General features: G+C 50.3%; 1 non-coding gene and 2 pseudogenes across 1 annotated transcript, besides 3 other annotated features; 2 read left to right on the forward strand and 1 right to left on the reverse strand.

The window, feature by feature from the left end:
* Positions 4,895 to 4,944: an enhancer, noted in NCBI's record as "active region_2575". NCBI's record gives its function as "activates an Ori minimal core promoter by ATAC-STARR-seq in GM12878 lymphoblastoid cells {active_cell/tissue: GM12878}" and the evidence as "EXISTENCE:reporter gene assay evidence [ECO:0000049][PMID:35858748]".
* TRT-TGT2-1 (tRNA-Thr (anticodon TGT) 2-1) lies at positions 14,515 to 14,587 on the forward strand. Its single transcript has one exon. It is a non-coding gene; the product is annotated as a tRNA-Thr (tRNA).
* Positions 14,926 to 15,135: a silencer, noted in NCBI's record as "silent region_1832". NCBI's record gives its function as "represses an Ori minimal core promoter by ATAC-STARR-seq in GM12878 lymphoblastoid cells {active_cell/tissue: GM12878}" and the evidence as "EXISTENCE:reporter gene assay evidence [ECO:0000049][PMID:35858748]".
* CICP13 (capicua transcriptional repressor pseudogene 13) lies at positions 17,608 to 19,407 on the forward strand (annotated as a pseudogene).
* Positions 19,561 to 20,062: an enhancer, noted in NCBI's record as "H3K4me1 hESC enhancer chr1:222643393-222643894 (GRCh37/hg19 assembly coordinates)". NCBI's record gives its function as "activates a minimal SCP1, AML or CMV promoter by ChIP-STARR-seq in naive H9 embryonic stem cells {active_cell/tissue: H9 hESC(naive)}" and the evidence as "EXISTENCE:reporter gene assay evidence [ECO:0000049][PMID:30033119]".
* On the reverse strand, positions 21,284 to 27,210 carry LOC728417 (uncharacterized; annotated as a pseudogene).

A 27,641-nucleotide genomic window follows, 5' to 3' on the forward strand; every position in this document is an offset into this window, starting at 1 on the left:
TTTAGGAGTTTATAGTGTTTCACACAGATATTGAACACTCTGGGTCAAGATGAGCTCATTCAGTAAGGGAACCTGGAGAAAGAAAAGAAGCAGGGGACCTGTCCCGGGATGTGTCGACATTCAGAGATTTGGAGGAGAATGAAAAGGCACCACACCTGGGCCAGGTGTGGTGGCTCACGCCTGTAATCCCAACACTTTGGGAGGCTGAGGGAGGTGGATCACCTGAGGTCAGGAGTTCGAGACCAGCCTGGCCAACATGGTGAAACCCCGTCTCTACTAAAAATACAAAAATTAGCCAGGAGTAGTGGCACACACCTATAATCCCAGCTACTTGGGAGGCTGAGACAGGAGAATCACTTGAACCCGGAGGCGGAGGTTGCAGTGAGCCAAGATCACACCATTGCACTCCAGCCTGGGCAACAGAGTGAGACACCATCTCAAAAACAAACAAACAAACCAAAAACAGAAAAAAAAAACAAAAAGGCAGCCTGGAGACAGAAGGAGCTGTTGCTGCCTGAAAGTTAGAAGAAAATCAGGAGTGCACTTTCCCAGAAGCAAAGCAAAGAAACATCCCTAGAAGAGTCGGCGGAGCCCAGGGCCCCAGTAGGGTGAAGACAGCATCGGCCATTGGCTTTGGCAACCTGGAGCTCGAAAGAGGAGACAAGGGTAGTTTCAGTGGTGCATGGGAGGGAACCCGTGAGAGAATGGGAAGTGAGGGATGAAGCAGACACAGCAAGAGCACACAGCCCTTCTCAGGAGCTTTAAGAGAAACAGGAGCAGAGAAATGGAGCAGGAGTTAAAACTAAGTCTAACATGAGGCGTTTTATGTTAGGAGATTCCAGCATATTTATATGCTGATGAGTATGAGCCAGGGGAGAAGGAAAATGTGAAGATGTCAGGGAAAAAGAAGTAATTGTAGAAGCAAACACTTGATTGGAGGGAGGGTTTAGGAACCATAGCACACATAGGGAGTTTGGCTTGGGACGAGCAGAGAGTTTTCTTGAACTCCTCCCTTAGATCCCTAATCACTTATCTCTAAGCTATACTCGTGACATCTTAAATCTTGAATCAATCACCAAATGTAGTAATTTATTCACCCCATAGTATTGATCATCTTTTGTCCCTTGATTTTCATTCTCACTGCCGTCATTTGGTAACTAAATTATCACATCTTGGAGAATCACTTGAACCTGGGAGGCAGTGAGCCGAGATCGTGCCACTGCACTCTAGTCAGGGTGACAGAGCAAGACTTCATCTCAAAAAAAAAAAAAAGGTAAAAGATGTTTGTTTTAATTTTCAAACCATAACCACACTGAGCCCCTACCTGCCCAGAGCAGCAGGATGACCAGTCTCTTTCCATAATTCCCTTCTCCAAATACCCTGAGTACAGATAAGGTGGCACCTGCAGTCCATGGATCAGCCTGTGAGAGACTCCAATGCTCCCCTTGAAGCTACAATCACTGATGTCCAGACACTGGTCTCTGCTGCCTCCTGTCCCTTCCCTGCTAAGGCAAGGGCCTGGGGTCCCTGTTGGAATCCAGAGGATGAAGCAGGGCAAAGACAAGCCCCCAGTAGCTAGCCACAATGGTCACCTTGCTCATCAACATTCAGCAGACAGGGGAAGAGGAGGAGAGATTGCCCAGGGAGATTGTATAAGCCAGGCCTGGAAGGGATACCCATGGCCACACCTAAAGAGCCTGGAATATTTGGTCTAGCTGTATTCCCAGGAAGAAGAGAAAACAGGTTTGTTGGGTGGTAGTGACACATGATCATCTTACGAACCTGGGATAATAATAGATGTTGCATAAGGACCGGCTGAGGATACGAGATTATAGGTGACACAAAGTTTCTTAGCATATTACTTGGCACTTACATGATGGGCAAATGATCAGCTTCCTAAGTCTTCTCCCTTTTTCCCTCCTCCCTAGTCTCTCTTTTCACCAATCCTTTCTACCATTTGTTTCCTCATTAGTATTTCTAAAAGTTCTACTTTTCTCAAGTCATTACCTACTCCCCACCCCAATCAGAAAATGCTGGTAGTTCCCCCATTGCCTTCAGGACGAAGTCCAAATTCCAGAACCTGGCATTAAGTCTCCCACCCCAAAGGGATCGCTCTTCCACCCCTATTCCCATCATGAAGCTGCTCTATTCTCAGAACACACCAGGTGGGTTCACTGCAAGTGTAATGTGTCCCATCTCTGCCCCCACCCAAATCTTATTCATGTTTCAAAAACGAATTCATATCCTACCTTTTCCATGAGCCTCCTCTGACCACGCAGGCATCCCTTCCTCAGTTGAAGTCCTGTAGCACACATCATTTCTTCTCACTGGACATGTGTGACATTTCTTCACATTATTCATTAACTTCCGTCTGTGTGAATCTTCCTCCCACAATGGTACTGGAGTTCCCTAAGGACAAGAACCATGCCTCACTCTAGATTGCCTAGCACAGTCCTTTTTGCAAAAAAGATGATTAAATAAATGTATTAAAGCACACATTTCAAGAGTAAGATGTACTAGGAAGAGCTCAGATCTGAGCTTTAAATCCCAGGTACAACATTTGCAAGTTGCATGGTTAGAAACTTCTAAGTCAGAGCTAATTACAGCTACCTGACAGGGGGGTTTTGAGTATTAAGTGAGATAATGTATATAAGGCACCTAATATGTACCTGAAGCACGGTGGGCTCTCAACAAATTCCCTTCTCCTGCCACCCTACCTGAAACTGACATAGAATGACAAGGGACAAACCTGTTAGGAGACAGGCAAAGATGATAAAGGTACTTTCCATTCCACAGCTCAGAGATCCTGTTCCAGGAAGCATCTGTCTTGACAAGGTGTGAGGACTCTAAGGGAGGCTGAAACTCTAAGGGAGACAATGAGATGCTAACAAGCTGGAAATCAGATGCATTTCAAGAACCATTTACACCCCAACAGGCTGACCTCAGAAGGGCACTCGAGACTGCCCACTGCTTTGTACTGCAGGAAGGTGAGTGTTCAACCCTAAAGAGGCGCTGGTCCAGGAAGCCCTGGTTCAGTATCCCAGTGGCTGAGGTCTGACCTGTAGCCTGTTCTCAACCAAATGGAGGAAGATGGGGGGTCACTCAGGCCCAGACCAGAAAGCAGGCTCACCGCCCTCTTACTTGCTGTCAAATTTCCTAACCAGTCATTAGAAGAGTCACTCTGTGGGACACCCAGTTGAGTCCATGCTATTAATAACATAATAAATGTGTGCAACTCAGGATAAAAATAATTCTCTGTACCTACATAGAAGGATGTGTGCATGGGCCTGTATGTCCTTTGAAGCACCATTAATGATTGAACAAGAATTCATTGCACCTTTTTTTTCCAGAGCAGCCTCTGACACTTTATAATCTGAGAAAAAAATGGCAGAACTTCTGCATCTCATGTGGAGCAGTTGAGTTTCCTGCCCACTTGTTTTCTCAGATAAACCCGAGTCAGGCTCCCAACTCTCCAGCCCACCCACCCAGGACTTTGCGCAGAGATTTGCCTTCATTTCCTCATCTGTACCCGGTGTGACAACACTTACCTTGCAGGTAGTCATGAGCATTAAATAGAGGAAACTAATCTTCCTAAAGTGCTGGTATCGTGCTTGCTGTTCCAACCCTGATAGCCATCATTACATTATTACAAGTCAAGCTGAAGGGCAGGAGAATAAATTGTAAGAATTTATTAAGCGTGGGTAGGGACCGAGTCTGGGCAGCCACAAGCAAAAATGGGAAAGGGATTCGCATGGTGGGAATGGCATTTGCCCATCTCCATTTTCGAGGCCTCTCTCTGGGTTCAACAGTTCTTCTAAGATCACATATGGCTGTCTGGCCACTTTAGTTGTAAGCTTTCTCTGCTTCCAAGAGATGTGAACTCATTTCAAGCAGCTCATTGGCAGCCCTCCTGCCCATTCTATGCATATTTTACAGAGGAGAGCTTTGAAGCTTAAGCAAAATGGCATTTGCAAGGTCACAGAGCTCACTGGTGGCAGAGCTGGGATACAGGACTATTGGATTCAAAGCCCCCCACCCACTCTTTACCTCCCTCCCCTTTCTAAAGCATGACCCACTGGAGCTTTCACGGTGGGGGCTATAGATTGTGGAAAAAAGTGGCAACATGACTGTGAACTTGCATCTGATCCAGTGATTCCAAATTCCCTTACAATTGAGGCAGAGACTCCGCCAAAGGGACTGGTGAGCCCTGTGACTGGCCCCATCACCATGACAACACTCCTGTTCCAGCGCCTCAAGGGATCTCCACTCTCCTACCTTCTCACGTAGGTGGGAAAGGTGGCGTCCTCACCTACATGTACGGCCAGGACTCCCATAATTTAAGAAGAGCCAGCTAGATCACTAAAATGGTCTCCATGCTACACGTTACAACTGCACATCTCAGCACCCAAAGCCTTCACTGGAGAGAGAAAACCGTGCCTGGGTGACTCGTGACTCGACATTGGCTCCGGACGTGTCAGTACAGAGGAACGTCGGTACCGGATCCCAGACATAGGGCTGAGCCCAGCTGGTTCTCATTCTCTTCTGGGGCCAGGCCTGCTGCTGGTTTCATTTAATTGAATATTTTGATTGTTTGATTTCTGTAGCCAGAAGCCTGTAGGCAGTAAATGCCCTTTTCCATCAGTTCAAGAAAGAAAATGTACCTGCCGAGGTAGTATCTGCTTCGCTGAGCTGCTGACTTATTTTAAGAACTAAATCTTTCCTGTTACTATATTTTTCACTCTGGGGTGTGCGCGCTCCAAGACTGACAGTAACTCAGGTCTAGGACAGGAGCGTCCTCTCGGCGATGACTTAGCGCCACCTACTGACCACTTGCTCAACAGCGGCCACGTTCAGCAACCACGGTGATCTCGACAGACACGAAAATGTTCTGTGCTCTCAACGAGAAGTTCTGCATGTATTCTTCCCTTCTCACATAGCAGAGCTTGCCTAGCAGAATTGTGCTCCTTTTATTTTTTAATATAAGTAAGTTAAGACACAGGGCTCCAGCAAGAAAGCTGAGCAAGTTCTCCATTTGGCAACTGTTTCATACTTCCCGACTTTGGCGGCTGTCATTTATAAATGATGAGCTCATGAGTGAGGAGGCTGATGCAACCCCCAGGGGCCCAAAACACAAGCATGGAGAAAGACAGCCCTCCTGTGGGATCTGATGCAATCGTCTTGTCTTCTTTAGGCTTTGATACCAGTGTTTCTAAACTTTAGGTGCAAGATTATCCTCACAGCACCTCTAAGGAGTATAAACCCCAGGGTTATTACTTACCGGTTACCACAGCAACTCATATGTAAAGAGTTGGAAAGTCCTTCCTCTGTGGTGATTGAGAGTAGACATGGAGCTGTTTGCAACCCCCTAAACACATTGCCCCCTTGCCACACAATAGCAAAAATTGAGAATTATCATCCTGTCACCACCCAGTGGCTCTGGGCCCTCAAGCTCCCAATTACTTACAGATATCTACAGCAGAGTCTCTTGACCTTCGCACCATCGGGTCAGATAGGTCTTTGTTGTTGGGAGGCTGCCTGCGCATTATGAGCATTTAGTAGTATCCTTGGCCTCTACCCACTGGTGTCACTGGCACCCCACCACTGTCCCCAAACCTCCACCCCTGTTATAACAATCAAAATACCTATAGACATTGCCAAATGTTTCCTGGGGGTACAAAATCACCTCTGCTTAAGAACCACCTATCTGGAAGGCAAATACATGGAATATAAGAAGAACAACAACAGTAATAATTACTAGTACTGCTATCATTTAAAAGGTAAAATTGCACCACCAGCTAATGGATAAGTCATCGGCTTCCTAAAAGGCACTAATTACGTGCTGAGACTTTTATGGCCTTATCTTATTTAGTCTTCACAACCAAGAAACCAGTCTGTGTTGACAAAACATTCACATTACAAGGAAACTGAAGATCAGAGATGCCAAGTAACTTGGCCAAGGGTGCAGAGCTGTCAGTGGCTGAACTACCATTTGAAACCAGACTTTCCTGACTGTAAAATCTGAGCCTGTCACCACCTCCAGATCCTGAGGTCACATAGCACAGATAGTTCTGGAACAGTCCTCACTCTCAAAAGTTCTGCCAGAGTATGCTAGCACTATTCAAATAATATATCTAGATTTAGATTTAAAGACATAAAGACTGTAGCTATCCTCTGTAAGAAATTGACCCAAAGTGTGACTGCTGTGGAGGTTTTCCAATAGGGGAATAGAGCGGGCCAGAGTCTTGGCCAGTAATTGACTGTATGGCCTTTATTTGGGGTCAGTTACTTAAGCTCTTGAAGTCTCTTCTTGTTCATATATAAGATAAAAAATTTTGTCAGAGCAATGGTACTCAACTCTGGCTGCACATTAAAATCACTTGGGTAGCTTTTTGCCATGGTTTGGATCTGTGTCCCCACCCAAATCTCATGTAATCCCCAATGTTGGAGGTGGGGCCTGGTGTGAGGTGGGATTGGATCATGGGGGCAGATTTCCCCCTTGGTACTGTCCTCAAGATACTGAGTTCTCATGAGATCTGGTTGTTTAAAAGTATGTGGCACCTCCCTTCTCTTTCTCTTTTGCTCCTGCTCCTACCGTGAAGACATATCTGCTCCCCATTTGCCTTCTGCCATAATTGTAAGTTTCCTGAGGTCTTCCCAGAAGCCAAGCAGATGCCAGCATTGTGCTTCCTGTACAGTCTGTGGAACCATGAGCCAATTAAACCTCTTTTCTTTATAAATTACCCAATCTTGGGTGTTTGTTTGTGGCAATATGAGAATAGCCTAATACAGAAAATTGGTACCAGGAGTAGGATATTGCTATAAAGATACCCAAAAATGTGAAAGCAACTTTGAAACTGGGAAATAGGCAGAGGTTGGAAGAATGTGGAGGGCTAGAAGACAGGAAGTTGAGGGAAGGTTTGGAACATCCTAGAGAGTTGTTTAATGGTTGTGATTAAAATGCTGACAGTGACGTGGACAGTGAAGTCCAGCCTGAAGATGTCTCAGATGGAAATGAGGAACTTATTGGGAATGAGTAAAGGTAACCTTTGCTATGCCTTATCAGACAGCTTAGCTGCATTATGCCCCTGCTCTAGAGATCTGTGGGACTTTGAACTTGAGAGTGGTAATTTAGGATATCTGGCAGAAGAAATTTCTAAGCAGTAAAGTGTTCAAGATGTGACCTGGCTGCTTCTAACAGCCTATGCTCATATGTATGAGCAAAGAAATGACCTGAAGTTGGAACTGATATTTAAATGGGAAACAGAGCATAAAAGTTTGGAAAATTTGCAGCTTGGCTGTGTGGTAGAAAAGAAAAGCCCGTTTTCAGGGAGGAATTTAAGCAGGCTGCAGAAATTTGCATAAATATAAAGGATCCAAGTGCTAATAGCCAAGGCAATGGAGAAAAGGCCTCAAAGGCATTTCAGAGACCTTTGCAGCAGCCCCTCCCATCATAGGCCCAGGGACCTAGGAGGAAAGAATGCTTTTATGGGTTAGGCCCGGGGACTCTGCTGCCCTATGCAGCCTCAGGACACTGCTCTCCACATCCCAGCCACTCCAACTTCAGGCATGGCTCAAAGGGATATAGTACAGGCCACTGCTTCAGAGGGTGCAAGTCATAAGCCTTGGCAATTTCCATGTGATATTAAGCCTGCAGGTGCACAGAGTGCAAGGATTGAGGCTTGGGAGCCTCCACCTAGATTTCAGAGGATATATAGAAAAGCCTGGATGTCCAGGCAGAAGCCTGCAGCAGGGGCAGAAGCCTCATGGAGAACCTCTACTAGGGCAGTATGAAGGAGAAATGTTGAGTTGGAGCCTCCACAAAGAGTCCCCACTGGGGTACTGCTTAGTGGAGCTGCACAAAGAGAGCCACCGTCCTCCAGACCCCAGAATGTTAGAGCCACCAACAGCTTGCACTATGTGCCTGGAAAAGCCACAGTCAATGCCACCCTGTGAGAGCAACCATGGAGGCTGAACCCTGCAAAGTCATAGAGGCAGAGCTGCCCAAGGCCTGGGGAGAGCACTCCTCACACCAATGTGACCTGCATGTGAGACATGGAGTCAAAAGAGTTTATTTTGGAGCTTTAAGTTTTAATGACTGCCCTGCTGGGTTTTGGACTCGCATGGGGCCTGTAGTTCCTTTCTTTTGGCAGATTCGTCCCTTTTGAAATGGGAATGTTTACCCAATGCTAGTATCCTCATTGTATCTTGAAGCAAATAACTTCTTTTTTATTTTTTAGGCTCATAGGTGGAAGGAACTTGCCTTGTCTCAGATGAGACTTTGAACTTTGGAATTTTGAGTTAATATTAGAATGAGTTAAGGCTTTGGGGGACTGTTGGGGAGGCATTATTGTATTTTGAAATGTGAGAAGGAAATAAGATTGGGAGAAGTGCCAGGGGTGGAATTATATGGTTTAGATCTGTGTCCCCACCCAAATCTCATGTTGAATTGTAATCCCCAGTGTTGGAGGTGGGGCCTGGTGGGAGGTGATTGGATCATGAGGTCAGATTTCCCCCTTGGTGCTGTCCTCAAGACAGTGAGTGAGATCTCATAAGATCTGGTTGTTTAAAAGTGTGTAGCACCGCCCCTTTCTCTGTTGCTCCTGCTCCTGCCATGTAAGACATATCTGCACCCACTTTGCCTTCCACCATAATTGTAAATTTCCTGAGGCCTCCCCAGAAGCTAAGCAGTTGCCAGCATCATGTTTCCTTTACAGCCTGCAGATCTGTGAGCCAACAAAACCTCTTTTCTTTATGGATAACCTAGTCTCAGGTGTTGTTTTATAGCAATGTGAGAACAGCCTGATAGTTTTCAAATGGAATGCTTAAGCCCAACCCCAAATCATTTAAACTAGAATCTCTGGGTCCCAGGCAATGATATTTTTAAAACCCGCAGGTGACTCTAATAGGACAGCCAGAATGGATACCCATGAGGCTGATGAACAGTAAGACCCTTCAGTTCTGTTTTTCTAACTTAGGTCCCAACTCTCCCAGGATCAGAAGCCATTCTTTTCTCCCTTACTGGGATCCATTCTGGGGGGTGGCTAGTTTCTCTGTCTCATAAGGCTGTCCCAAAAGCCTTGATTAATTTCCTGGAACTTTCTGACTGTCTCAACTGTCCTGCAGTCCCTGAACTGACCATTCCCAGCATCTCATTCTACCACCAAGAAGTATTGAAATCCCATCCCACTCTCCTGTGGTACATATGGGTTGGAAACTTCTACCAAAAGCTGCAAAGAGCAGGGAACATGACAGAAGACAGCTGTGTCTACTGAAAGACTATCTTCTCCTTAGCCTCGTTGAATGCTTGCCCTGTTTGACTTTAATAAGGTTAATTCTAATCTGTAGCTTTTCCGGAGGTGAGAGAATCTCCCCTTTCTGAACATGACTCACTGGCTTCTATTTCAGCTCCCAAAGAAGAGTGTTAATGTCTCACTCAGCAGGTGACTGAGAGAAGCTTTGGCCTTATGAGTCCCATATTCTTCACCCTTTTCTATGCCTCCTGTCACCCCTATTTCTACAACAGGAGAGCTTCGTGCAGCACTCTAAGATACAACTAACAATAAAAGTAATTTATATCACTTACTACTCTCCAGATGCGAGGCTCTGCATAAAGTGTTTACATGCTTCATTTCATTTATTCTTCACAAGTCCCCACATGAGATGGTATTATAGTTATTACCATCATCATTCCCATTTTATAAATGAGGAATCTGAGTAGACTGTACTGCCTGTTCCTCTTCCTTAGCACTGGTCCCCACAGTCCACCCATTTTCTGAATAATGTCTGTTTTCCTACTAGTCTGTATGCTTGGCTAGAGCAGAGACCGCATCAGGATTGGCTGATCACTTAATCCCCAAACTGGCGGAGCAGAGCCAGAACTGAGACATGAGCAGGCTGGCCCCCAGGGCCTTGTGTGCTCACCCTCTGCTCTCATGGAAGGTGAGTCTGCAAAGCTGAGAAGTGGGTTCCTGGGAGGTGGGCAGGCCCTTGGGGTATGTATGGGTCAGGAAGGCAGTGGAAGAGAGAGTTTTAGGAGGAAAAGCAGTCATCGGCACCACGTGCTGCCAAGACACCAAGGCTTCACCCACATAGAGCTTACCTAGTGCCAATGAGGGTCATTTTGGTGGAGCTGTAGGGCCAGAAGACAGATGGGGCAAGTGGAATGTGTGAAAGGTAAGGGTCAGAGTGAATGTGTGGGGACAACTCACTGGAGTTGAAGGGCAGTTTTTATTTTATTTTATTTTATTTTCCACGAGAGAGACACAGAAGCAGACGGGAAGGATCCAGTTGAGCATGAGAGGTTGAGTGTCCCAGGGATAAAGGGCATAGTGGTCCTGCAGGGGTCCTCAGAGGGAAGAGAGGACTGGGCCAGGCTTGGTGGCTCATGCCTGTAATCCCAGCACTTTGGGAGGCCGAGGTGAGCAGATCACCTGTAGTCAAAAGTTTGAGGCCAGCCTGACCAACATGGCAAAACCTCGTCTTTACTAAAAGTACAAAAATCAGCCGGGCATGGTGGCAGGCATCTGTAATCCCAGCTACTCAGGAGGCTTAGGCAGGATAATTGCTTGAACCCAGAGGCAGAGGTTGCAGCGAGCTGAGATCATGCCACTGCACTCAAGCCTGGGCGACAAGAGCAAGACTCTGTCTCATAAAAAAAAAAAAAAAAAAAAAAAAAAAAAAAAAAAAAAAAAAAAAAAAAAAGAGGGCTCTCACTGGGGAGAGATAAAGCTCCTCTACCATAATCGAAGGGCAGGCAGGAAAGTGAACCTGGCCGCACAGGTCCAGGTGGGCAGTCCCTGAAGGGAGGTGAGGCTGGACCTGTGCTGACCTCTTTGCACCCAGCAGCACATTATATCCTGAAAGTGTGTACCCTCCTAGCTCCACTTCCCAGGTGAACAGGAGCTTCAAAAGTTAAGTAATTTTCAGAGGCTGGGAAGGGGGACTGAAGAGAGGTTGGTGATATACTCTGGTTCTGTGTCCCCACCCAAATCTCATCTTGAGTTGTAATCCAAATTATAATCCCCATGTGTTGGGGGAGGGACCTCATGGGAGGTCACTGAATCATGGAGATGATTACCCTCATGCTATTCTCGTGATAGTGAGTGAGTTCTCATGAGATCCAATAGTTTTATAAGGGGCTTTTCCCCAGTTTTGCTCGGCACTCCTCCTTCCTGCTGCCATGTGAAGGACATGTTTGCTTGTTTGCTTCCCCTTCTGCCATGATTGTAAATTCCTGAGGCCTCCCTAGCCCTGTGGAACAGTGAGTCAATCAAATCTCTTCCCTTTGTAAACTACTCAGTCTCGGGCAGCTCTGTATAGCAGCATGAGAACAGACTAATACAGTTGGTCAATGGGTACAAACATACAGTTAGATAGAAGGAATAAGTTCTAGTGTTCGATGGCACAGTAGGGTGACTATAATTATCAATAATGTATTGTATATTTCAAAATAGCTAGTAGAAAAGATTAGAAATGTTCCTAGCACATCATTTCACCCATGATGAAGTTCAAGTTCCTTCTTCTCATGAAGTCGCAGCTTTTTTCTGGCACTAGATAAGCTCAAAGGTTCCTTCTGGCCCTTACATCCTCATACCCTCTGACCTTGAGTCTGACTTTGGACAGGACAGTAGAAGGTCTGCTCCCAGGAGGAGAGGATGCACGTGGGACAATGACTCAGAGGAGAGCCAGACAGCCCCTACACCAAGTGGGTGGGAGAGCCTTCCTGGGCTGTCTTCTGTTTCCCACCACCTCAGGGATACCAGGGATTCTATGGGGAAGGGGAGAGGATGTAGGCAGGGGACAAAGGACAGAATGAGGGTGAAGGAGGTGAGAAAGCAAAGCAACTATCTTCTTAAGGCAAAAAGAAGTCCCTTTAACACACAAAACAGCTGAGGGATGTGGCTGGGACTTACTAGTTTTCATCTCCTTTCCCTCCCAACAAAACTGGACCGTGGGATGCCTTCCCTCCTGGCAGTGCCAGAAGCTGGAATCTCTCCACGTGGTTTTCTGCTGAGGGTTGACCATAGACCAGAAGTAAATGCTCAACCTTTGAAGAACATTCCCTTTTATGTTCGTTTCTGGCATTTCACAGTTTCCTAGCACTCTCAGGTTCACTATTGTGTTGAATCCCTCAAAATGCTCTGAAACAGAGAGGCCAAAATTATCACCTCCATTTTACAGTCTTTATAGGATGTCTACTTTATCTTTATTTCATCTTACCATTTAACTTTGTGTCCTTTTTCTTACAGTACAGAAATTGGAATTGAAAAGAGGAGAGGTTCCATTTGTCTATCACATGCTACCTCCTGCTGCTGGGAGATAACGTGCATCAGTATTGGGAGGAGGGGTCGAGGGTGGTGCTGTGCCAACTCAAGGGAATGGAAGAAGGGAAATTCAAAATTCATTTGTTGAAGTCCTAAGACCCAGTCCCTAAGAATGTGACCTTATTTGGAAAGAGTCTTTTCATAGGTAATCAAGTTAAAGTGAGGTCAGTAGGGTGGGCCCTAACCCAATCTGACTGGTGTCCTTATAAAAAGGAGAAATTTGGATACAGAGCTATACATAGAGGGAAGATGATGTGAGGAGACACAAGGAGAAAATGGCCATCTACAAGCCAAGGAGATCCTTCCTTCACTGCCCTCAGAAGGAACCAGCCCTATCAACACCTTGATTTCATACTTCTAGCCTCCAGAGCTAGAAGATAATACAGTTCTGTTGTTTAAGTCACCTAGTGTGAGGTATTTTGTTACAGCAGCCCTAGCAAACTAATACACTCCTCAAAATCGCCTCTGAGATGGAAAATAAGCCAGCTCTCTAAGGCTCTTGCCAAGACAACATAAGACATTAAAATCAGGCTTATATGTTTCAGGTGGAAGGAACCATGTGCGATGAGAGATGAAAGTACCTGCAGGTAGCTTGAGAGGGAGGGAAAGTTTGTATATGAAAGATGAAATTACTGAGGAGTTTGACCTTTACCCAGAGTACAGTGAGAAGGCACTGAAGGTTCCCGGAGCTGAGGAGGGACGACAGGCAGTAAATCTCAGAGCAATGGGCCGGGGAAGCAGGAGAAGGAGAGAACCAGATAAGCTGCAGAATCGAAGGGTGATGCAAAATTCCAATGTAGACGGAGAGGCAACGCAAGTGAATATAAGGCAAAATGATGAGAAGACAGCTCCCAAAGCACTTCCCTGATTTCTCTTTTCTCTTAATTTACTAAATGAGCATCATCAGAGATGTCATTCATTTCAACATTTGTTGAGCATCTACTATGAGCCAGAGAGTATTCTGGTGTTGAGAAGACAACAGTGAATAAAACAGATCAAAGCCTTAGCCCTCAAAGAGCTGATATTCTATTAGGGAGAGATACATGAAGAATAAAAAACAATAAGCGCATTATCTACTACAAAAGAAGGTTAAGTAGTATGGAGTAAAAAGAGCAGAATAAGGAGGATGGTGCAGCTGTAAACAGGGGATCAGGACAGCTCTCACTGAGAGAGTGGATGTAAGCCAAAGCTTGGAGATGAGGGAGAGATGCCTGCAGCCCACTTGGTGAGCATGATCTTCATTCTCTCTTTAATGCACTAATGGATCATGTTGTGGCCATGACTTCATTCCTTCAGTAAATGGTTCATTAATCAAAAGGGAATGAAGCATAGTGATCCCGACCATTAAAAAAAAAAACAGGGACCGGGTGCGGTGGCTCACACCTGTAATCCCAGCACCTTGGGAGGCCAAGGTGGGCGGATCACGAGGTCAAGAGATCAAGACCATCCTAGCCAATATGGTGAAACCCCGTCTCTACTAAAACCACAAAAATTAGCTGGGCGTGGTGGTGCACACCTGTGGTCCCAGCTACTTGGGAGGCTGAGGCAGGAGAATGGCTTGAACCTGGGAGGCAGAGGTTGCAGTGAGCCAAGATCACACCATAGCACTCCAGCCCAGGCAACAGTGCGAGACTCTGTCTAAAAAAAAAAAAAAAGGAAGAAAGAAAGAAAAAAGAAAAACAAACAAAGCAGCAGAGGCAGAGCTTTGCTTGTTCACTCTGCCTCATCTAGCATTATTTGAGTACTCAGTAAATATGTGTTGAAGCAATTAATTCATCCAAAACCAGTAACTTAGTTTATGAGAACAAAGACACCCCCATAACTTCCCACTTCCCTGAAAGTACCAAACTTGATACAATTTATCAAGGAAGCAAGATTGAAAGATTTATTGAGAGTAAACATACCACTGAAAATATGACCAGAACACCATTTCATTTTTGCACTTTCCCTCCCAGCCCTTGTCTGTATGCATAAGTTAGGTATGATTTAGTGTATTGTAATCACAAACATATGATTTGAGGCTTCAGTGTTTTCCACTTATCATCATGTTGTAAGCATTTTTCTTTGGCATTTCATAGCCTTTTATAAGTACCATTGATAATACACACATGGGGTCAAATTCTCACGGACCGCCATATAAACCAATGTTGTTGGTAAGATCTGTGAATTCCTGAAAACAACGCCTCACGTGGGCTCCATAGCTCAGTGGTTAGAGCACTGGTCTTGTAAACCAGGGGTCGCGAGTTCGATCCTCGCTGGGGCCTCCTGTTGGCTTACTTTTATTTTAATCCATAGCATTTAAATACAGAATAGAGTCCAAAATGGAAAACGTGATTTCCGAAAATGTTACTCCTAGCAGAGCTAAACATTAGTTCTCCTGAAATACAAATGATGACCATCCTTAACGTGCTTTAGAAGTGACCCAGAAGACAAAATCCTAGTCCCCCAACAAAAAGCAGGCAAGGGCAGGAGGAGGGGGAAACTGGCCCGGCAGCCCCAGTATTACCTGGACCTGCAGGCCGGAGTACTGGAATTGGAGGCTCCATGGGCTCGTATTCAACGTCCTGCACACAGGCACCATCCCCTCAATTAAAACCAGCTGGAGGCGGCGGCCTTGGCCGTCAACTCGGCTGCTGGCTAACAGGACAGGCCGAAGCGGCGCTGCGCCTGCAGTTACGGCGCGTGGCCGGCGGGCGGCGCTGTGGCACCGCTCCCCATCGCCTCACCGGAGGCTAGCGGCTGCGCTTCTCCACGCCCCGCCGGGGCCGAGAGCGCCGCCAGCGTGGCCCGAATGCTAGCCGTTTCTGTGGCTGACACGTGGCAGCCCAGGCCCCATAGCCCGGCCTGGCTCCAATGTCCTGCCCCTTCCGAGGCTACTCCCCAAAATAGTCCCGGGTTGCTTGGGAAGCCAGTGTTTGCAGCCTTTCTGACTCTCCGTGTTTTCTCTGAATTCCTCAATGGCGCGTGACTACAGAGTCACCAGAGGAAAGTGCCAAGAGCCTTTTTTCTGAACACATGAATTTTTCCAACCCAGGATTTCTTTTCCCAGATCTGAGGGCCAGAGCTTGATAAAGGACTGTGTGTGAGGTCGCCACAAGCCGCGTGTGGCCGCTGGGTGCTTGAAATGTGGCTAGACCAAATGGCCATGTCCTGAAAGAGTAAAATACACATGAGATTTAAAAGACTTGAAACCGAAACAGGATGTAAGCCATCTCACTAGTAATTTTTGAATTGATTCCATGTTGAAATAATATTTTGGATATATTGGATTATATAAAATATAGTATAATTAAAATAATTATAAAAATAATTGTATAATTACAATTAACTATTTTTTTAATGTGCCTATTAGAAAATTTTAGGTTACATTTGTGGCCCCCATCTGCAGCTTTCATTTATCTTTCTGTTAGATGGTGCAGGTTAGGGACCCAGAGTCCTCTGACCTTGTGTTTAAGTTAATTCTTAATCTGGCTCCCACTAAGTAAACTGTAATAGCCAGAGAAAGTCTCTTTCATCTCTGGGTCTCCCCGGAGTCAGTACTGTGCCTGACAAGCAGTAAGCACAACCTTCGTTGAAATGAAATTAAATATCTCCCCAACAAGCTCTACAAAGCAAGGGAATGTATTTCCTTTTTTTTTCTTTTTCTTTGTTGTTGTTATTGTTTTTTGTTTGTTTTTTTGTTTTTTTTTGAAAGGGAGTCTCCCTCTGTCGCCCAGGGTTGAGTGCAGTGGCGTGATTTCAGCTCACTGCAACCTCCACCTCCCAGGTTCAAGCAATTCTCTTGCCTCAGCCTCCCAAATAGCTGGGATTACAGGTGCCTGCCACCATGCCCAGCTAATTTTTTGCATTTTTAGTAGACAGGATTTTGCCATGTTGGCCGGGCTGGTCTCGAATGCCTGGCTTTAAGTGATCCACCTGCCACGGCCTCCCAAAGTGCAGAGATTACAGGTGTGAACCACTACAGGGAATGTGTTTCTTAAACTGAGTTCGCTTTTGGCAACTGTAAGACTGTTTTGGCTTGCAGTATTTTAGATCTAGGAAAACACACTCAACACCCTCATATTTTGTTAATTATTTTGTCCCTCTGTGGTCAGGATATCTACTGGAGCAATGCTGTGAAGGTGAAGTGTTCACAGTGCCTTGAGGACATAGGACCCACTGATGCAAGACAAATACCCATATTATCGCAAAAGTATTAGCCCTTTACTAACACACCGAATGCCTTTTAGCAAAGCCATTTCGGATCCTTGAATACCTTAGTACCAGGACTACTTACTCTGAGTTACTTGGTCATCAAGTAACAAAGTAGTAAGAAAGAGAGGTTTTTGAAGCGCTCTAATCCCATCTCCCTCCAGTCATTGCTAGTCGTCATCATTCCTCTCCCTTCCCCTGACATTGGCTGATCTCTAGAAAGAGCAAGTACCTGCATGTGTGTATTTTTCAACTTTCCAAACTTTTCAACACCTTAGGCTGTAAGGAAAAGGAATACATTTTGGCTTTTCTATGTCCTAGAGATTGTTTTCTAACAGTCCTAGACCCTTCCAGGAAGACTCACCAGCACCATCAGGCATCCTTCCAGAAAATAAAGCCACTTGCTAGAGAAAAACACTCTGCCTCTCCCCGACCTTTCCAACATTTGAGAGGTCCCATTCAGTTTCCCGTTCTAGACCCACGCACTACCCACCAATGCAAAACCAGTGCTTCAAATGCCTTGAATTTGGTGCGTGTGGTCCTTTAAGTTGATACATGAATTTTGAGCACTTTCCCCCAGCTCAAACACTTCCAGTCCAGACTGTATTTTTGCCACATGTATTTGAAGAAAGACCGTATGAGTAAAGAAAGCAGAATGGCTCAAACATTTAGTCCAGAGGTTAGATCCAATCTCCTCAAACTGGCCTGGGGTTTTCAGCTCTTTCAACAAAACAACCCTGGGTTAATCCCCTCCACCTTTAAGTTGCTGTCTTCATCGGAGGAGAAGCTAAAAGTGTGAAATATCAAGTTGGTTAGACTCTGAAGTTCATTTCGATTCTAGAGAGTATTCATAAGCACTACAAAGGTAGGCAAGGAAAAATAAAACTATGAAAAAGGCGAAGGAAGAAGACTTAAAGATGATCCAAAAAAATGATCTGCAGAACACGATGACTGGTGTTTAGCATCTTCCATAAAGACAGAACAAGATAAAAAGAATCAGAGGTTTGATGGATTCTTGTTAGGTAAGGTTACCTAAAGTAAAAACATGGAACCTGCTTCTAAGTCTTTAAAAAAAAATCTATCCAGAGTATGCCCAATTATAACTCGGCCCCCAGGCCTGCGTTCAGTGAGGCCTCCCGTGGCGTCAGCATGTTCGTGTGGAGGAATGTGGAAGGTCACTCTGTGGCCGTGTTCCCCTGGTACTCCATCCCCTTCCTGACCCCTCCCTGCAGCCACATGAGGCCCAGCAACCTGCCAGTCACTCAGTGGCCTCCAACCAGAGAAAACAACCTGCCAAGTTGGCAGCTGTTGCTCATAAGCGTCCACCAGGTGGGACAGGGAGTGTTGACCCTGGGCGGCCCCCTGGAGCCACCTGCCCTGAAAGCCCAGGGCCCGCAACCCCACACACTTTGGGGGTGGTGGAACCTGGTAAAAGCTCACCTCCCACCACAGAGGAGGAGCCCTGGGCCCCTCAGGGGAGTCCCTGCTGGACAGTGACACAGAGAATGACCATGATGATGCTTTCCTCTCCATCATGTCTCCTGACACCCAGTTGCCTCTACCACTCAGATGATGTCAGGCCCAGTCCCTCAGTGCCTGCGCAAGGAACAGGACTCATCTTCTGAGAAGGATGGACGCAGCCCCAACAAATGGGACAAGGACCACATCCGGTGGCCCATGAGTGCCGGTCATGATCTTCAGCAAGCGGCACCAGGCCCTGGCAGGGCGCACCAGGGTCACCCCAACCACTATAACCGGACCATCAGCCAGATGCTGAGCGAGCGGTGGTACACCCTGGGGCCCAATGAGACGCAGAAATACCACGACCTGGCCTTCCAGGTGAAGGTGGCCCACTTGCAACAAGGACCGAAAGAAGTCCAGCTCAGAGGCCAAGCCCACAAGCCAGGGGCTAGCAGGAGTGTAACAAGGGCTCGTGGGAGCGGAGCATATCAGAGACAGGCACTGCCACTGCCCCTGGGGTGTCCTCTGAACTCCTGTCAGTTGCAGCCCAAACACTCCAGAGCTCGGATACCAAGGAGCAGCTTCTGTGGGGCAGAACGGCTGCACACAGTCAGGAAACCTGGCTCAGCCTGGCCCAAGCCTTCTCCCACAGCGGGGTACACAGCCTGGACGGCAGGGAAATAGACCGTCAGGCACTACGGGAACTGACACAGGTGGTGTCTGGCACTGCATCATACTCTGGCCCAAAGCCTTCTACTCAGCATGGAGCTCCAGGCCACTTTGCAGCCCCTGGTGAGGGAGGTGACCCGTGGGCAGCCCTGCTGCTGCCCACCTGAGCTGCTCATTCCCAGCACATGGCCAGTGAGGACATAGCGAGTGACGAGGAGCACACGGTCATCCATGAGGAGGAGGGGGTGATGATGTCATTGCTGATGATGGCTTTAGCACCACTGACACCGATCTCAAGTTCAAGGAGTGGGTGACCGACTGAGAGTGGGGACAACTCTGGGGAGGAGCCAGAGGGCAACAAGGGCTTTGGTGGGAAGGTATTTGCACCTGTCATTCCTTCCTCCTTTACTCCTGCCGCCCCTTGCTGGATCCTGAGCCCCCAGGGTCCCCCGATCCACCTGCAGCTTTTGGCAAAGTCTATGGTCCCACCCTGTCCTCCTCCTACACATACTCGGATGCTTCCTCCTCAACCTTGGCACCCACCTCCTTCTTACTGGGCCCAGGAGCCTTCAAAGCCCAGGAGTCTGGTCAAGGCAGCAGAGCGGGCCCCCTATGACCCCTACCCCTGGGGATGGGGGCCCAGGGACGCCTTCCAAGGTGACCTGTTTCCTCCCAATGGATCCTGCCACCTTCTGGTGCAAGAGACCAGAAAGTGTGGGCGACCTGGAGCTACCAGGCTCCTCAGTCATCAGGGTCCCTCCCAACACTAAGGCTTTCCTAGGCAGGAGCTGGGCTGAGCCACCCGGGGGGGCAGAGCCTGAAGAGAAACTGACTGGGCTTTCAGGGTCAGGGCAGAGGGAACCCCACGGACATGGATTCCCCCACACTGGAGGACCCCACCACGCCCAGATGCAAGATGAGAAGATGCTCCAGCTGCAGTCCAAAGCCCAACACCCCCAAGTGTGCCATGTGTGATGGGGACAGCTTCCCCTTTGCCTGTACAGGTGGAGAAGCCGAGGACAGGCTCAGGGAACCGGAGACCGAGAAGGCGCTGTCCTCTTCACTGCACGCGCCCTGGACCAGTGCCGGCCCTGATCATGCAGCTCTTCCAGGCCCACTGCTTCTTCCTGTCCACTAGGCCACAGTTGCCCTCCAGGCCCACTATGCACACATCTTCCCCTCCAAGGTTTGTTCTGCCCCTGCCCTGACTCCCAGCCCTGTGGGGGTCCTGACCGGACCTCACCTGGCTCAGACTCTTGACGCTGCCCTGGCTGCCCCACCACTGCCTCTGCCCGAGAGTCACGTGAGGCTGAGAGTAGGGGCGGGGCAGCAGTGGTGCCAGTTGGGGGGCGGTCCAGTGGGAGGAGCCTCAGCCTCACGGGCTGCTCCGTGGGACTGATGACTGCATGATCTTCTGGGCACCTCACGGATCTTCAACTGCAGGTGAAACGGATGCTGGTGGTGGGTGCAGGGCCGCTGGGGGCCGCTGCATGGTTCCCAGAGGCTGGACTGGGGCAGGTGCCAACTGAAGCTGCTGGGGCAGCATGGGCAGGATGTTCTGCACACAAACGTTGGAGAAGAAGATGTGTGCATAGCGGGTCCACTGCTGCTGCCCCTGCCCTGACTCCCAGCCCTGCCTGACCCCACCTCACCCTGCTCAGGCTCTGGCGCAACCCTGGCTGCCCTGCCACTGCTCTGCCCCAGAGTTGGGGCCTTGACAGCCTGGTTGGAAGGGGACACCCCAGCCCTGCCTCAACACCTGGGGGTCTCCATAACTACCACAGGCAGGTGGGCGACCCCAAAGAAGATCCCAGGACTCACAGTATCCCCTGAGAACATGGACAGTATGTGGGGGTAGCAATGGAGGGCAGGATGGTTATCTTCTCCCAGGTAAAGCCATTTAATCCTTTCAGTTTGGGATGGAATAAGGCCTGCCTCTTTTTTTTTTTTTTTTTTTTTTTGAGACCGAGTCTTCCTCTGTCGCCCAGGCTGGAATGCAGTGGTGCAATCTTGGCTCACTGCAACCTCTTCCCGCCGGGTTCCCGCCATTCTCCTGCCTCAGCCTTCCAGGTAGCTAGGATTACAGGTGCACGCTACCACGTCCGGCTAATTTTTGTATTTTTAGTACAGACGGGGCTTCATCATCTTGGCCAGGCTGATTTCGATCTCCTGACATCGTGATCCGCCTGCCTCCACCTCCCAAAGTGCTGGGATTACAGGCGTGAGCCACCACGCCTGGCCAAGGCCTGCTCCTCTTATCTATACCCCCTACCCCTGCAGCTGTGCCAGGGGAAAGCTGGGCAGTTTCCCTCCTCCGAGCCCCTGTACATACCATGAATTGTGGGACCTTCAGAGCTTTTCACTTTTCGGAAAATAGCTCCTGCTGGGGCTACAAGATGGAGTGTGAAGAGGGCCTTGGGCCACAGGGAAGCGCCTGTGGACTAGGGGTAGTTCATGCACCCCTTCTTTCCCCAGAGGGGCTGGACTCAGGTGAGTATGGGGGTGGGGGCTCCTGCACTTCGACACAGGCAGCGGGAGGGTTTTCTCCCCATTCCCTCTGCACTCCCAACTTGAGCTATACTTTTTAAGAAAGTGATTCACCCTGCCTTTGCCCCCTTCCCCAGAGCAGAACACGTTGATCATGGGCGATATTTTTCATTGTGCCAAAAAGTTGCCATGACCGTCATTAAACCTGTTTAACACCAAATAACAAGGAAAATAAAATAAAAAATTCGGGCATGGTGCAGAAACTCACTCCAAATAAATTACCGACCAAAATATTTATATAATGGTGGAAATATTCCAAAATTTAATATTTTGGGATTTATACACAAAAGATAAACAAATTAGAGGCCAAGAGGCTGCCGGAAGGGAAAAACGGGGCCTGGGAAGGCCGTTGTGAGGAATGAGCTGGGCCTAAAGAGGCCACTGGCAGGCAGGAGCTGGACCTGCCGAAGTGGCCGAAAGGCAGGAGCTTTGGACTGGGGAGGCCGCAGTGAGGCGAGAGCTAGCTGGGCGTGGAGAGTCCGCTGTGAGGCCGAGGCCGGGCCCATGCAGGCCTTTGAGAGGCAGGAGGCCGGGCCTGCAAAGGCCCACTGGAGGTCAAGTTCTGGGCCTGAAGAGGCCACCAAAAGTCAAAAGCGGGGCCTGGGAAGGCCGCCGAGAGCCATGAGCTGGGCTGGGCTGAAAGAGACCACTGGGAGGCAGGAGGAGCTGGGCCTGGAGAGGCTGACTCGAGGAAGTTTTGCACCTGGAGAGGCCGCCGAGAGGACGGAGCTGGGCCCGGGGAGGCCGACTTGCTGCTCTTCCAGGCCCAATTCCAGGCTGACTTGAGGACGACTTGGGCCTACAGAGGCTGCCAGGAGGCCCAAGCTGGGCCTAGAGGAGCCCACCGACCGGAGGCTGTTTGGGGCCTGCAGATGCCATCGGAGAGCAGGAGCTGAGCCTGGAGAGGCCACCGTGAGGCCTGAGCTGGGCCTGCGGAGCTTGGCTTTGGGAAGTTGTGGGCCTACCAGGGCCGCTGGGAGCTGGGCAGGAGCTGAGTCCAAAGACGTTGTTGGGAGGCCAGAGTCGGGCCTGGAGACACAGCAGGGAAGAAGAGCTGGGCCTGGAGAGGACGCCAGGAGGCTGCAAGTGGGTCTGGAGAGGCCGACTTGAGGAGGTTCTGGGCCCGGAGAGGCCGCCGGAAGGGAAAAACTGGGCCTGGAAAGGTTGTTGTGAGGAATGAGCCCCATGGGCCTGAAGAGGCCACTGGCAGGCGGGAGCTGGGCCTGCCCAAGCGGCCGAGAGGCAGGAGCTTTGGACTCGGGAGGCCGCAGTGAGGTGAGAGCTAGCTGGGCGTGGAGAGTCCGCTGTGAGGCCGAGGCCGAGGCCGGGCCCATGCAGGCCTTTGAGAGGCAGGAGGCCGGGCCTGCAAAGGCCCACTGGAGGTCAAGTTCTGGACCTGAAGAGGCCGCCAAAAGTCAAAAGCGGGGCCTGGGAAGGCCACCGAGAGCCATGAGCTGGGCTGGGCTGAAAGAGGCCACTGGGAGGCAGGAGGAGCTGGGCCTGGAGAGGCTGACTCGAGGAAGTTTTGCACCTGGAGAGGCCGCCGAGAGGATGGAGCTGGGCCCGGGGAGGCCGACTTGCTGCTCTTCCAGGCCCAATTCCAGGCCAACTTGAGGACGACTTGGGCCTGCAGAGGCCGCCGGGAGGCCCAAGCTTGGCATGGAGGAGCCCACCGACCGGAGACCATTTGGGGCCTGCAGATGCCATCGGAGGGCAGGAGCTCATCCTGGAGAGGCCACCGTGAGGCCTGACCTGGGCCTGGGGAGCTTGGCTTGAGGAAGCTGTGGGCCGACCAAGGCCGCCAGGAGATGGGTAGGCACTGAGTCCAAAGAGGTTGTTGAGAGGCAGGAGTCGGGCCTGGAGACGCAGCCGTGAGGAAGAGCTGGGTCCGGAGAGGACGCCCGGAGGGTGCAAGTGGGTCTGGAGAGGCCGACTTGAGGAGGTTCTGGGCCCGGAGAGGCCACCGGAAGGGAAAAACTGGGCCTGGAAAGGCCGTTGTGAGGAATGAGCCCCATGGGCCTGAAGAGGCCACTGGCAGGCAGGAGCTGGGCCTGCCGAAGCGGCCGAGAGGCAGGAGCTTTGGACTCGGGAGGCCGCAGTGAGGCGAGAGCTAGCTGGGCGTGGAGAGTCTGCTGTGAGGCAGAGGCTGGGCCTGTGCAGGCCTTCGGGAGGCAGGAGGCCGGGCCTTGTCGAGGCCTGCAGAGGCCACCAAAAGTCAAAAGCAGGGCCTGGGAAGGCCGCCAGGAGGCATGAGCTGGGCTGGGCTGAAAGAGGCCACTGGGAGGCAGGAGGAGCTGGGCCTGGAGAGGCTGACTCGAGGAACTTTTGCATCCAGAGAGGCCGCCGAGAGGCCGGAGCTGGGCCTGGGGAGGCCGACTTGACAACAGTCTGGGCCTGCAGAGGCGCTGAGAGGAAGAGCTGGGCCTGGAGAGGCCGACTGGAGGAAGTCCAGGGCCTGGAGAAGATGCAAAGCAGCAAACGCTAGGCCTGGAAAGTCTGCCCTGAGGCACGGGCTTGGCCTACAGAGGCCACTGGGAGGCAGGAGCTGGGCCCGCAGAGGCTCCCGAGAGGGAGGAGCATTGCCCCAGGAGGCCAGGGTGAGGAAGAGGTGGGCCTGGAGAGCCCACTGTGAGGTAGAGGCCGGGCCTGTAGAGGCCGCCAACAGGGAGGGGATGGGCCCGTTGAGGCCACGAGAGGCATGAGCTGGGCCTCAACAGGCCAGTGTGAGGCAGGAGCTGACACTTCGGCACGTTGCAAGAGGCATGAGTTGGGCCGAAAGAGGTCACCGTGAGGGAGGAGCTGGACCTGTACAAGCTGCCAAAAGGCAGGAGCAGCTTTGGACTGGAGAGGCCGCAGACAGGGAAGAGCTGGGTGTGAAGAGTCTGCTGTGAGGCAGAGGCTGGGCCTGTACATGCCCTCGGGAAGCAGGAGGCTGGGCATGGAGAGGCCGACTTGAGAAAGTTTTGCTCCTGGAGAGGCCACTCAGAGGCAAGAGCTGGGTGTGAAGAGGCTGACTTGAGGTCGATTTTGGCCGCAGAAGCCACCGGTAGCTAGGAGTTGGCCCTGGAGAGGCTGACCTGAGGACAATTTTGGCCTGTAGAGGCCACTGGGAGGGAGAGCTTGGTCTGGAGAGGCCAACTGGAGTAAGTTCAGGGCTTGGAGAGGATGCACAAAAGGAAACGCTCAGCCTCAAAAGTGTGCTGTGAGGCATTAGCTTGGCCTACACAGCACTCGGACGCAGGAGCTAGGCCTGCAGAGGGTGACTTCACGACGATTTTGGCCTGCAGAAGCCTTTGGGAGGAAGAGCTTGGCCTGGACCGGCTGACTGGAGGAAGTTTTGGGACTGGAGTATGCATCAAAAAGCAAAAGTTAGGCTAGGAAAGGCCACTTCACGGCATGATCTTGGCCTACAAAGGCAATTGCGAGGCAGGAGCTTGGCCTGTAGAGGCTGCCGAAAGGCAGGAGCTTGGCCTTAGGAGGCTATGATCAGGCAAGTGGTGGGCCTGGAGGGTCTACTGTGTGGTAAGAGTCTGGGCCTGTGTAGGCCGACATGAGGCAGGAGCTGAGTTAGGAGAGGCCATCTTTTGGAGAATTTGGGCCTGCAGAGGCTGCCAGGAGGCAAGAGCTGTGCCTGGAGAGTCCATCTTTTAGCATGAACTGGGCCTAAAGAGACCATTGTGAGGCAGCAGCTGCCTGGGAGGCAGGCAGATTCGTGGCCTGGGGAGGCCACCGTGAGGCAAATGCTCAGTTTTCGGAGGATGCCGTGAGGCAGGGAGAAACTTGGCTTTCGGTGGCCGCAGTGAGGGAATAGTTTGATTGCTGAGGCTGCCGGGAGGCCAAAGGTGGGCCTGAAAAGCTTTACCTTAAGAAGTCTGTGGCCTAGAGAGGCTGCCAGCTGCTCAGCAGGAGTTGGGCCAAAGGAGGTTGTGAGGCAGGAGACGGGCCTGTAGACGCACTGGGAGGATGAGCTCGTCCTGGAGATGCTGAGTTAAGGACATTCTGGGCCTGGACAGGCTGCAAAAGGCAAAAGCTGTGCCTGGAAAAGTCGCCATGGGGCATGAGCTTGGCCTAAAGAGGCCACTGCAAGGCAGGAGCTGGGCCTGTAGAGGCTGCAGAAAGGCAGGAGCTTCACCTGAGGATGCCACAGTGAGACACCATCTGGGTCTGGAGGGTCCACTGTGAGGCAGAGGCTGGCCTGTAGAGTCCGACAGTAGACAGAAGTTGGGCAAAAGGCTGATTTGAGGAAGTTTTGGGCTTCAAGAGTCAGCCACGAGGCAGGCACTAGGCCTGGAAATGGCCCGACAGTCATGAGTTGGGACTAAATGGGCCACTGTGAGGGAGGAGCTGTGCCTGTTGAGGCTGCTGGCAGGCAAGCAGAAATTTGGCCTCGGGCAGCTGCCATGAGGCAAGAGCTGGGCCTGGAAAAAGCCCCTGGGAGGCAAGAGCAGGGCCTGCAGAGGCTGTTCTCAAGTCAAAGCTGGGCCTGTTCATGCCACCGGGAAGCAGAAGGTGGGCCTGGAGAGTTTGACTTGAGGAAGTTTTGGGCCTACATTGGCCGCCATGAGCTGGACAGGAACTGGGCCAAAAAAGGCTGTTGTGAGGCAGCAGTTGTGCCTGTAGACCCAGCCAAGAGGAAGAGGTGGGCCTGGAGAAGACCCCATGAGGCAGAGGTTGGGCCTGTAGATGCTGACAGGAGGCAGGAGCTGGGCCTGGAGAGGTCAACTTGAGGAGATTTTGGGCCTTCATAGGCCACCAGAAGGCAGCAGTTGGGACCAGAGAGTCTGACTTGAGTAAGTTTTGGGCCCGGAGATGACGTCCTGGGACAGGAGTTGGGCCTGGAGAGGCCAACGTGAGGCATGAGCTGGATGTAGAGAGGCCAGTGTGAGGCAAGACCTGGGCCTGTCTAGGCTGCTGGGAGACAAGCAGGAATCTGGCCAGGGAAGGTTGCCATGAGACAAAAGTTGGGCCTGCAAAGGCCCTTGTGAAGCATGAGCTTGGCCTAGAGAGGCCACTGGGTGGCAGGAGCTGGGTGTGTAGAAGCTGCTGAAAGGTTGGGAGCTTGGCTTGGGGGGTCCACAGTGAGGCAGATGCTGGGCCTGAAGAATCTGCTGTGAGGCAGATGTTGGGACTGTAGAGGCCGACGGGAGGCAGAGGCTGGGCCTGGAGGGGCCACCAAGATGCAGGAGCTGGGCCTGGAGAGGCTGCAAAGAAGCATGAACTGGGCCTGGTGAGGTCGACTTGAGAAAGTTCAGGGCCTGGAGAGAAGGCTGGGAGGCAGGAGCTGGGTCTAAAGAGGCCATTGTAACGATGGAGCTGTGCCTGTGGAGGCTGTTGTGAGGCAGTAGGCTCATCTGCGGAGACTGCCGTGAGGTAGGGTATGGGCCTAAATAGGCCATTGTGAGTCATGAGCTTGGTCTGTAGAGGCTGACTGGAGAAAGTTCTGGGCCTGGAGAGGCTGCCGGGAGGTAGGAGCTGGGACAAAAGATTTAAGCACATTTACATTTATTAGGTGCTTTATTTCCATTATTACACTGTAATATATAATAAAATAATTATAGAACTCACCATAATGTAGAATCAGTGGGCATGTTAAGCTTGTTTTCCTGCAACTGGATGGTCCCACCTGAGCGTGATGGGAGAAAGTGACAGATCAATAGGTATTAGATTCTCATAAGGACAGCGCAACCTAGATCCCTCACATGCACGGTTCACAACAGGGTGCGTTCTCCTATGAGAATCTAATGCTGCTGCTGATCTGAGAAGGTGGAGCTCAGGTGGGAATGTGAGCAAAGGGGAGTGGCTGTAAATACAGACGAAGCTTTCCTCACTCCCTCACTCGACACCACTCACCTCCTGCCGTGTGGCTCCTTACAGCTCCATGGCTCAGGGGTTGGGGACCCCTGCTCAAGTGCATCCAAAGCGACCCTTCCCACACCAGTCTTCATAGTGGTCAAGGGCAGCAACCACTTAGCTCCCAAGGCATGTGCCTCAGCTGGCATTTCGTCACAATCAACAGTAAGTGGTAGCTTGAGTCATTGTGAGGTCGCTTCCTGGAAATCACCAGCATCCCATTTCCCACTGGCAAAGAGCTCAGCACTGCCCCCTGGGAAACCAAACCTATGCCCAAATCCCATCTGTGTGGGTTTATCTCCTGGGACCCTTCCTAACATATTAGTCAGAGTCCAATCAGGAAGCATAAACCACTCAAAAGTTTAAAGTGGTAAAATTTAATACGGAGAATTATTCATTATAACAGGTGAACAGCATAATGAGAGATTGGCTAGCACAAAGTAAAGAGAACTCTAGAGAATACAGGACTAGCCCAGGCCAGGCATGGTGGCTCATGCCTGAAATTCCAGCAATTTGAGAAGCTAATGCAGGAGGATTGCTTAAGGCCAGGAGCTAGAGACGGTCTGGACAACACAGTGAGACCCTGTCTCTATCCAAAAA

The sequence above is a fragment of the Homo sapiens genome, chromosome 1 (assembly GCF_000001405.40).
Source record: "Homo sapiens chromosome 1, GRCh38.p14 Primary Assembly".
Lineage (NCBI taxonomy): Eukaryota > Metazoa > Chordata > Mammalia > Primates > Hominidae > Homo > Homo sapiens.